This window comes from Homo sapiens, chromosome 3 (assembly GCF_000001405.40).
Source record: "Homo sapiens chromosome 3, GRCh38.p14 Primary Assembly".
Lineage (NCBI taxonomy): Eukaryota > Metazoa > Chordata > Mammalia > Primates > Hominidae > Homo > Homo sapiens.
This window is the reverse complement of record NC_000003.12, coordinates 168,202,820-168,214,557: the sequence shown is the minus strand read 5'-3', so window position 1 is coordinate 168,214,557 and position 11,738 is coordinate 168,202,820. Positions and strand designations below refer to the sequence as shown.

The following is an 11,738-nucleotide window of genomic DNA, read 5'->3' as shown; positions in this document are numbered from 1 at the left end:
AAAATTGTACATTTGAAAAATGCTTTCATTGATGTCCCTTATTTTTTGCTACTGCTCTGCTGAATTCTAATATCCTCAGCCCTCTCCAAACCCTCATGATCTCTGAGGTAGTGTCTCATATTGTGTCCTCTGGCATAGCCTAAGACCACCCCCAAAACTCATTTGCCATGTTTTTCAAACTTTTAGGACATATATACTGAATTATACTAATATGTTAACTAAAAGATATGTCCCACTTCCACTTTATATAAAATACCCATAAAAACTTAACACAATTTTCTGGTAGGCCTTAAAGGCATGACTAATCACAGGAGTTTTCGGCACCATGGCACCGCAATGGGCCTTTCAGCTCTCCTTAAATGACCCTCTATAGGGAGCTGCCTATCCCTTTTGTAGAGTTAGCACTGTCTCCAGGAAAGGAAACCATCATACAGGCGATGGTTAAAAACAAAAACGAAACCAAAACAACAACAAAAAACCCAACAGTCATCACTGACCCCTGTCCCTTAGCAAATTCTTTCAGGATATATAATAAGCCAAAGGTGCCCTTTGCTGAATTTTTACTACTGAGCTCTGCATGGTTCTCCAGTGAGTACTGTGTAACTACAAAACAACCTTACTTTGGTTTTATAGCATCTAATCCCAAGCTTAGAAAGCCAGCAGTTTCTGTAATTCAATGCACCATTTTCCTTTACTAAATTTTGCATTGTGTTATTACACTTGTTTGTTGAGTCCCTTAGGATATATGGATTAAAATGGCTATTAGAGTAACTTTCATTTCTATTTAATTGAAAGTTGCTGGTCGGACAAGTGTTCTATGTAATTGTTCACATGGGATGTTAAAAAAAAAAAATCCATACTGTATTTTCCCAGACCTAAGCAGATCTGTAGGATTTTCTTCAACTTTGATATGTACTTTTTCCCCAAGCCAACTCTGAACTAAATGACCTCACCAGTTTAGTTAAGCTCTAACCTGGAAAAGGTTTTGCTCTTGAGATTCTTTTGTGAGTTTAAGCCTTTCTTTTCAAATTGATTGGTGGATGAGAAATTTGAACATTCAAGTCTCTATGAGGAATGATTTTTTTTAAATCAAATAACTCTAATTTCATATGGCTCTTTGTAATAACTTTTTATAATGTCATTCATTCTATCCATTGTTCCCACTTGTTTTCCATTTAGAGAATGAAATTCAGCATTTGTTAAAATGAAGTACCCGATAAACAATTATACTTAATGTGTATTTTCTCTTTTTCTGTCTCTTAGTGTATTGAAGTTATGGATTCAGACAGAATCTCTTTGCGAATGTGGACAGCAGACTGCACTCTGTCTTTTCATGCTGTCATATTCCTTTGTTGATATCTCTGTTTTAAGATGAGTTTGCCCCATGCATCACCAATTGTCTTTTGTTTTCACCCTGTAGGGAAGACTGGGCTAATCCATATGTCACTATGAAACTTCAGGCCTCTCTGTTTGACAGGTAGCAAGCCTGACAGCAATCTATTGAAAATGCATTTTAGACAGCAATCTATTGAAAATGCATTTTAGGCAATCATTTTTCCAGTCTAATTTACTCTTAATAAAATGACTTTGAAGACAAGAGGTCCACTCTGTGTTGGTTTGTTTCTTTCAGATAATTACATTTTGAGAAAGACACACTGACAGTTTTCACAAATACAAGATGATGAAATTCCCTTGGGAATGAAATGAGATAGCTTCACAATAAATAGCATCTTTTAGCCTAAGTGATCCCAAAGCACTTTGGCAACTGTGGACATTCATGTGACTCCCCAGGCGAAGAGAAGCAGCCAGACGTTTATCCAAGTCCTACAGCAAGACACATTCTATTCCATGCAATGGAAAAACACAGCACTAACCCTCCCCCCATGCACACACATCTTTACAAAATAAGGAATATTTCTGTATTGTATGTATATGTATGTGTATGTTACAATTGCTGGCAAAAGACTACAAATACATATGCATACAAAATATAAAACTGTATACATAAAAGCAATAGCATCAAACTATTTTTAACATGGCTTCATTTTAAAAATTCACTTGATGCTGCACATTTATTCAGAAATTGTTTTTTCTCCCTCCAAAGAAAATAATAATAATAGTTAATATCTACTGTCCCTTTATCCACATTCTGTTACCCTCGATAAGTCATTAATCAGATCTCCAAATTGAAAGAACAACTCCTTATAGAATTTACCTCACATAACATTTTGATTACATTTTGCCAAATGGATACATAATCATCCAGTAAAGAGTGTTAATTTATAAGGTGGGTGGTATTTTTTAAGCCATTACAATTTTGCTAAAATTTTAAAAACCCTCAAAGATTCTTAAACTGTATCATCAGGACCATCAGCTATTAATTATGTTGATTGAACAAAAACTGTCTATTCTACACTTAAAACATAATACAAAGAAGATACATTTGTTTTAATAACTTAAATGTTCATCTATGTTATTTTTGCTATATCAATAATAATTAGATTTTAAAATGGAAGAAAAATACAATTACATTTTAAAATTGGGAAAGAATGGTTAATTTTACTTCTCTGTTTAGCTAGGATACTGAATTCATAGATTCATTTTTACTTATATTAATTATCATTTTGATAAAAGACAGCAATGGTATTGTTATTCTTGCCAAAATGAAGTTCAGTAACAGAACCTTAACACTGAGAAAAGAACAGTGAAGCAAACATGACTGAGTGAAAATGACTGAGTCCCTGGGAATATTCGTGTCCCTCATTTAGCTCTTTAGCACGATTCTAAAGAGGAAAAAATAAAGACCTTTTCCCAGGAAAGGTTTCTCTCTCTCTCTCTCTCTCTCTCTCTCTCTCTCTCTCTCTCTCCTTCCCTCTCTCTCTCTGCCAATAAAAAGCAACACCACCACAGATTCTGGGAAGTTGGTGTATGAATTTTCATTTGTTGAACTTGCACCGGAGGCTGTGCTAGTCTCAGAATAGTGGAAGGTTTGGATTTCTCCCCCTCAAAATTCGAACTAATATTTAAAATATAATGTTTTGGTGCCATCTGGTGTATAAATTGCAGGTTTGCAGCTTCACTTAAGCATCTAATAAAATGCTTCTGAGGAAGGACAAAAGAAAAAGCCAGAAGAATGAAGAAATTATTAATCTTCACGTGTCACAAATAATGTGAAGCCAGTCACAAGATATGCTGGGAATTAGTGGTTACGAGATGGAGGAGAGGCAGAAGTCAAGGTGGAGGGACGAGGGAATGGGAGCAAGTGGTGTTGAAGCCAAACTAGCAAGAGCTCAAACAAGGACAGAGCAGCAGTATGGGCCTCATGTATCAGGAGGGCCACACATTGTTGTCTGAGTCAAGGTCACAAGCCTAAAGCATCTGAGCCACCTGAAGTCTATCTGGGCAGCTGGACTCCTTCTGGGATCCGTGGAAAGGTGGGAAAGGTCAAATCTTAGGGGCCAAAGGTCATTTCCAGCAAATGACTCTGGACAGCAGCAATTGGTCAGAGTCCGTGAAGACTCAGTTTTCCCAGTGGAAAATAATTGAGGCAGAAATTGAAAAATTGGGGTAGAGTATTGGCAGGAACTGAGTTGAAGGGTCAAAGCTAAAATTCCATTGCCAAAAATCTCTGGGGATTCAAAAGTACCTCAACTCAAAATTCATGTGCTTTCCCGTCATCAATCAAACCCTAAAACAAATAAACAATTAAACAAATAAACAAACTGTTCCTAGTCTTCCTTTTTCAAAGATGGCAAACTATCCAGTTTCCAAGCCAGAAAAATACAGTCTCTTCATGGCATTGCCATTTCTCATGTCCCATATCTAGCCAATCCCAAAGTCTTGTTGATTTCTCCCCTTAAATAAGTTTTGAATCTGCCCATCTCCCATCACTGACACCACCTGGTTTAAGCAACAACTCTTTCACCTGGTTGACAACTTCCTGATTTCTCCACCACCTTCCACTTCTCCTACTTCTAACCTGCTCTCCATAGCATGGTCAGGGCTGTAGTTTCAAAATGCAATCTGATTATGGTGCCACTCTTACTTAAAATGTTTCTGTCACAACCCCCCTCCCTTAGGATAAATGCCAAATTCTAACATGTACTGCAAGTCTCCACATGATCAGGCCTCTATTTTTCTAGTCTGTACTCTGCCTTGCCCCTGTGCACTCAGCTCTAATCACTGTGGCTTTCTTCACAGCCCTTTCTTCCTACTGCAGGATCTTTGCATATGCTACTTCTGCAGCCTAGGCCTTCCTCTCTTCCCACTGCATCTAGTTAACTCCTATTCATCTTTCAGAACTCAGCTCTAGATCCATGATTCTCCCTTGCCTTTTTAAGTAAAAGCCCCAATCTTAAATTTTAATAGCTCCAAATTGTTGCGGGAAGTCAGGGACCCTGAACGGAGGGACCAGCTGAAGCCATGGCAGAAGAACACAAATTGTGAAGATTTCGTGGACATTTATTAGTTCCCCAAATTAATACTTTTATAATTTCTTATGCCTGTCTTTACTGCAATCTCTGAACATAAATTGTGAAGATTTCATGGATACTTATCACTTTCCCAATCAATACCCTTGTGATTTCCTATGACTGTTTTTACTTTAATCTCTTAATGCCATCATCTTCGTAAGCTGAGGAGGATGTATGTCACCTGAGGACCCTGTGTTGATTGCGTTAACTGCACAAATTGTTTGTAAAGCATGTGTGTTTGAACAATATGAAATCTGGGCACCTTGAAAAAAGAACAGGATAACAGCAATGTTCAGGGAACAAGAGAGATAACCTTAAACTCTGACCCCCTGTGAGCCAGGTGGAACAGGGCCATATTTCTCTTCTTTCAAAAGCAAATGGGAGAAATATTGCTGAATTCTTTTTCTCAGCAAGGAATATCCCTGAGAAAGAGAATGCATCCCTGAGGGTAGGCCTCTAAAATGGCCACTTTGGGGGTGGCTGTCTTTTACGGTCGCAGCTAGCTATAGGGATGAAATAAGCCCCAGTCTCCTGTTGCGCTCCCAGGCTTATTAGGACGAGGAAATTACCACCTAATACATTTTGGTCAGACCAGTTGTCTGCTCTCAAACCCTGTCCTGATAAGATGTTATCAATGACAATGCCTGCCCGAAACTTCTTTAGCAATTTTAATTTCACCCCGGTCCTGTAGTCCTGTGATCTCGCCCTGCCTCCATTTACCTTGTGATATCTTATTACCTTGCGAAGCATGTGATCTCTGTGACCCACACCCTATTCGTACACTCCCTCCCCTTTTGAAAATCACTAATAAAAACTTGCCAGTTTTGCGGCTTGGGGGGCATCACAGAACCTGCTGACATGTGATGTCTCGCCTGGACACCTAGCTTTAAAATTTCTCTCTTTTGTACTCTGTCCCTCTATTTCTCAGACTGGCCAACACTTAGGGAAAATAGAAAAGAACCTACGTGAAATATCGGGGGTGAATTTCACCCAATGTCTGGCTGAATTTCCCCCCATACCAAATTTCTCTCATTTGGGCAAAAATCACTCTTGCAATTTTATTCTTAGAAATCATTTGAATATTTATCTCCCCCACCAGAATGTAATTCTTATGAAGACAGAGACTACCTATATTTTGGTTCATTATTATATATCCTGGGACTAACACAGTGCCTGAATTAATAAATACCTGATAAGAAGGAAGAGAGATAGGAAGAAAACAAGGAAAGAATGAAATGTCAGGAAATTATAAAAACTGTTACAATAGTAAAAGCTAATTTTTTCTAAAACTCAATATATAATTAAAAGTTTTCTTAAGAAGATCATCCTGAACCTTCTTTATAATCCAATATATATTGTAAATGCCCTTCTATAATCCTAACAGCTAAAGGCTCATGTAATGTAGTAGTTAGGCATGGCGCTGCTCAGGCCAGACAGCCAGAGGTCCAGTCACAGCTCCTGTGCTTACCAGCTGGAGATCTCAGCCAACTTACCTTCTCCTTTCTAATGCTCAATTCCTTATGCATAAAAGAGGAATAATAGTTCCTGCCTTACAGAGTTGAGAGAAACAAATCAGGTAGCTCAAATGAAGTATTCAGTAAATTCTCAAGCAATACCAGCTTTTATCATCCTCCATGAGTGAACCCTGTTGTAACACCCTATCACTCATGGCCATCAAATCCAGACACATTTCCTTTGCCTCTGCTTTCCCATTCCTTCCCACTTCCTGCCATCTGGGCCCATCACTGCGAAAACACTCCTCACCCTCAAAGACTTCATTCAAATGCTGCCTTCTCTAGAAAGGCTTCCATGCCCCTTTGTAAAAACTCATATATATATTTAGTTAGTATATCCTATGTTGCCCCATTCATACTTGATGAACTCATGCATAACACTTATAATAGGTATATATAACAAGCACCAAATCGTCTAACTTCTGCCTTTACAAATTTTATTTTAAAAAATCATTTAATTACCTACAGTACAAGATACCTAATTTTGGAACTAGATTCATGTCTTTTTGTGCAATTTTCTCAATCCTGTTACTTCCAACTATCGTAATAGTCATGACAATTATTTAGCATTCACCATGTGGCCACATGGTGCTATTTTAAACTCTACCCTAGGGGACTGTGTGGGAAAGTCAAAGGACGGCAAGCAGTAGAGTCTGTGTACTGTGAAGAAAAAAGAAAGGAAAACAGGGATGGAGGAGCAAGTGGCTGGCTGGAGGACAACACATTGCTTGCATCACTGGGAGAGTCCCAGTGCTGGCTTTTGAAGGACACGCAAAAAAAAAAAAACAAACAAAAAAAAACAAATGGGGCTGGATGCGATGGCTCACACCTGTAATCCCAGCACTTTGGGAGGTCGAAGCGGGCGGACCACAAGGTCAGGAGATCGAGACCATCCTGGCTAACGTGGTGAAAACCCGTCTCCACTAAAAATACAAAAAATTAGCCAGGCGTGGTGGCGGGCACCTGAAGTCCCAGTTACTTCCCTTCATGTACACTTGAATTTGTAATCTGAAATGAACACCTGCTACCACTGAAACTTAATAGCTATGTTCAACATTCTGCATTGCACACAGTAGCCTACCATAAATATTTTGGTTTGGGTTTTTTTGCTTGCTTGCTTTTTGTTTTGAGAGAGGTTGATATTACTTGCAATATCGCAGGGGGTGTACAACCCCTGTGAACCCGGCAGGCGGAGGTTGCAGTGAGCCGAGATCGCGCCACTGCACAGCCTGGGCGACAGAGCAAGACTCCGTCTCAAAAACAAAACAAAACAAAAAATTGGCGAGGGTATAGTGAATTTTTATCACCCGCCATGCTCGGTGATCACAATGCCATCTTACAACAGTACCAAAGAAGTGATAACTTTTCTTTCCCTCCTTTCCCACTAGAAGAAGATTCAGATGAGACAGAGAAGAATTTCTCACTTTAAATCAAATTTGGAGTTTTTATTGTTACATGAGAGCAGACTATTTTCAGAACTGAGGTAGTGTTTACAACCTTGAATATCTGAAAGTCTTTTAAATATCCAATATGTAGCAGAAAATTCACCAGTCAGCTTGTATTTCCAACCAGCAGCAGGGAAAGTACTTTCCTACTGAATAAATTTTAAAAGGACAGTGGAAGATAAAAATAAAGATGCTTTCTGATTATATCTCATGAGTGCTGCTTGTTCAACCTGTTATTTACTTTAATTCTCATAATACTATAAGATAATCTTAGTACAACTAAGTACCATTCCCATCTTAAAGATGAGAAACGAATGCATTGAGGGTTTAGGTAAGTTTGGATTCATCATATAAACTCAGTATTTGAGCTCACCTTATGCTTAGCCACTCCACCATAGGTGCTCCAATATATTATAATCTTATGCAAGCACATTAAACTTTTTAAGTTTATTCTTTATATTTACAGTTTCTCTTCTTCTCTTAAATGGGAGTCTACATCAGAGCTCATTTTATTGATTCACTGAAGTTTTTGGCAGCTCCCTGAAAACTGGCTGGGATCCCTCCTCCCTAGAGCACCATGAAGCCAATTTCCCCCTCTCCAGCCCATGGAAGGGCTGCCAGAAGGCTGTGGGTAAAGATTTCTATTTCTCTGGACCCCACAAAATTATCTTTCTTTCTAAACCTTGGAAAATCCCTTTTCAGTCTGGGGAACAGTGTGTCTTTCTGTAATTCCTTACCTTTAAGTAGACTGGGACCAGAGCTTCTTTGTATTAAAAAGTTGAATTTCCAGATTTACTTTAAAAAAAAAAATGGAAGCTTGAATTCCCTGGCTCCTATCTCATAGAACAAAAGCTGGAGCAGGGTAAGAGACACCTTTTTTACCCAGACCACCGCCCTCCAACTCACCACAGACCCCTTCAGCTCACCACTCCTGTTATTTTATCTGCCAGACTCCTCTAAATGTTTGGATTTCTGAAACTTGGCTTGGATTTTAGAAACCAAAGGCGGGAAGGTTTGTTGTGACTCCTTTGGAAAATGCCATAATTTTCCCCAGAAGGGATGAAGCACAATAAGCTATCTGCTGTTCTGGATGACAAAGGGGGACAAAAAACAGGACAAGATGGGGAAAAGGGGGCCGGGCACAGTGGCTCATGCCTATAATCCCAACACTTTGGGAGGCCAAGATCGGTGGGTCACTTGAGACCAGGAGTTCGAGACCAGCCTGAGCAACAGAGGGAAACCCCATCTCTACCACAAAAAAAGTGAAAAAAAAAAAATCACGAAGTGTGGTGGTGTGCATCTGTGGTCCCAGCTACTCCAGAGGCTGAGGTGGAAGGATCATTTGGGCCCAAGAGGTCGAGGCTGCAGTGAGCTGTGATTGTGCCACTGCACTTCAGCCTGGGTAACAGATGAGGTCCTGTCTCAAAAAAGCGGGGGAGAGGCGGAGAAAGAAAACCCTCAAAATTTGATCCACCTGCTAACTTTTTCTAGTAAAGAAAATTCACTTCCCTTCATGTACACCTGAATTTGTAATCTGAAATGCACACCTGCTACCACTGAAACTTAATAGCTATGTTCAACATTCTGCATTGCACACAGTAGCCTACCATAAATATTTTGGTTTGAGTTTTTTTGCTTGTTTGTTTTTTGTTTTGAGAGAGGTTGATATTACTCCCAATATCGCAGGGGGTGTACAGCCCCTGTGATATTGTTTTGTTACTTTTAACGTCACAGGGGGTGTATACTCTGTGATATTATTCATAAATTCTAAGGAGATATTACTTCAAAGTGGATGTGCACATGGTGTACACCCACTGTGATATTTGTAATATTTTAGGTAGTTATTACTTCTAATATCACAGTGGATGTACACCCTGTGATATTTTTCATAATGTTTTAGGGAGATATTACTTCTAATATCACAGTGGTTTTACTCCATTCGTGTACAGCCTGTGATATTATTTGTAATATCCAAGGGAGATATTACTCCTAATATCACACAGTGGGTGTACACCTTGTGATATTATTTATAATATTCTAGGAAGATATTACTCCTAATATCACAGTAGGTGTACACACTGTGATATTATTTGTAATATCCTAGGGGTGATGTAACTCCTATTGTCACAGTGGATGTACATCCTGTGGTATTTTTGGTAATATCCTAGGAGGATGTTACTCCTAATGTTACAGGGGGTGTACACCCTGTGATATTATTTGTAATATACTAAGGGGATGTTACTTCTAATGTGTGCACCCTGATATTATTTGTAATATCCTAAGGGGATGTTACTGCTAATGTCACAAGGGGTGTACACTCTGTGATATTATTTGTGATGTCCTAGACAGACGTTACCCCTAAAGTCACAGAGGGTGTACACCCTGTGGTATTACTCATAATATCCTAGGGGAATGTTACTCCTAATGTCACAAGGAGTGTACACCCTGTTATATTATTCAGAGTATCCTACTGGGATGTTACTCCTAATGTCACAGGGGGTGTACTCCCGTGATATTATTCATAATATCCTAGCGGATGTAACTCCTAATGTCACGGGGGTATACACCTTGTGAAATTATTTGTAATATCCTATAAAGATGTTACTCCTCATGTGACAGGGGGTGTACACACAGTGATATCATTCATAATACCTTAGGGGGATGTTACTCCAAATGTCACAGAGGGTGTACACCCTGAGATATTATTCATAATATTTTTAGGGGATGTTACTCCTAATGTCACAGGGGGTGTTCACACTGTGATATTATTCATAATATCCTAGGGGAATGTTACACGTAATGTCATAGGGGCTGTACACCCTGTGGTATTGTTCGTAATATCCTAGGGGGATGTTACTACTAATGTCACAGGGAATGTCCACTCTGTGATATTATTCCTAACATCCTAGGGGGATGTTACTCTTGATGTCACATGGGGTGTACACCATGTGTGTACACCCCCTGTGGTATTATTTGTAATATCCTAGTGGGATTTTACCTTTAATGTCACAGAAACTGTGCTCCATGAGTGTACACCTTCTGTGATATTATTTGTAATGTCCTAAGGAGATGTTACACCTAATGTCACAGGGATGTACACCATGTGTGTCCACAACCTGTGATATTATTCGTAATATCCTAGGGGGATGTTACTCCTAATGTAACTTGGGGTGTACATGCCTTGGGGTGTATACAATGTGTGTACACCCCCTGTGATATAATTTGCAATAACCTGTGGGGGTTTTACTTTTAATGTCACAGGGGTTTTATACCTTGTGTGTACAACCTTTGTGATATTATTTGTAATACGCTGGGGGATATTGTTCCTAATATTTTGGTAGATGTTACTCCTATGAAACAGGGGGTGTATACCATGTGTGTACACCACAGGGGGTAATATCATTCCTAATATCTTAGGGCAATGTTACTCCTAATGTCACAGGGCTTGTACACCATGTGTGTGCAACCCCTGTGATATTATTCATAATATACTAGAGGGATGTTAATGTTAATGTAACTTGGGGTGTACAACATGTGTGTACACCACCTGTGATATTATTCCTAATATCCTAAAGGGATGTTACTCCTAATGTCCCAGGGGTTGTACACCCTGTGATATTATTCATAATATGCTAGGAAGATGTTTCTCCTAATGCCACAGGGGGTGTACACCATGTGTGTACACCACCTGTCATATTATTCATAATATCCCAGTGGGATGTTACTCCTAATATCACAGTGGGTGTACACACTGTGTGTACACCCTGAAATATTATTCGTAGTATCTTAGGCAGATATTACTCCTAATAGAATAGTGGGTGTCAACCCTGGATTATTTTTCATAATATTCTGGGGAGACATTACTCTTAATATTACAGTGGGTTTACACCTTGGGATATTATTTGTAATATCTTGCAGAGATATTACTACTGATATCATGGTGAATGTACACCCTGGGATATTATTTGTAATATCTTAGGGAGATATTACTTCTAATATCACAGTGGGTGTAAATTCTGGGATAGTATTCGTAATAACCTGGGGAGATATTACTCCAATATCACAGTGGGTGTGTACCCAAATATATTATTCGTAATATCCTGGGGAGATATTAGTCCTAATACCTCAGTGGGTGTACACCCTGGAATATTGTTCATGATATCCTGGGGAGATATTTCTCCTTATATCACAGTGGGTGTACACCATATGGGTACACCCTAGGATATCATTCATAATATCCTGGGGAGATATTAGTCTCTCAATATCACAGTAAGTGTACACCATGTGTGTACACACTGGGATATCAT

At 39.1% G+C, this 11,738-nt stretch overlaps 1 annotated feature.

Annotated features, from left to right (window-relative positions):
• Positions 406 to 525: an enhancer, noted in NCBI's record as "active region_20776". NCBI's record gives its function as "activates an Ori minimal core promoter by ATAC-STARR-seq in GM12878 lymphoblastoid cells {active_cell/tissue: GM12878}" and the evidence as "EXISTENCE:reporter gene assay evidence [ECO:0000049][PMID:35858748]".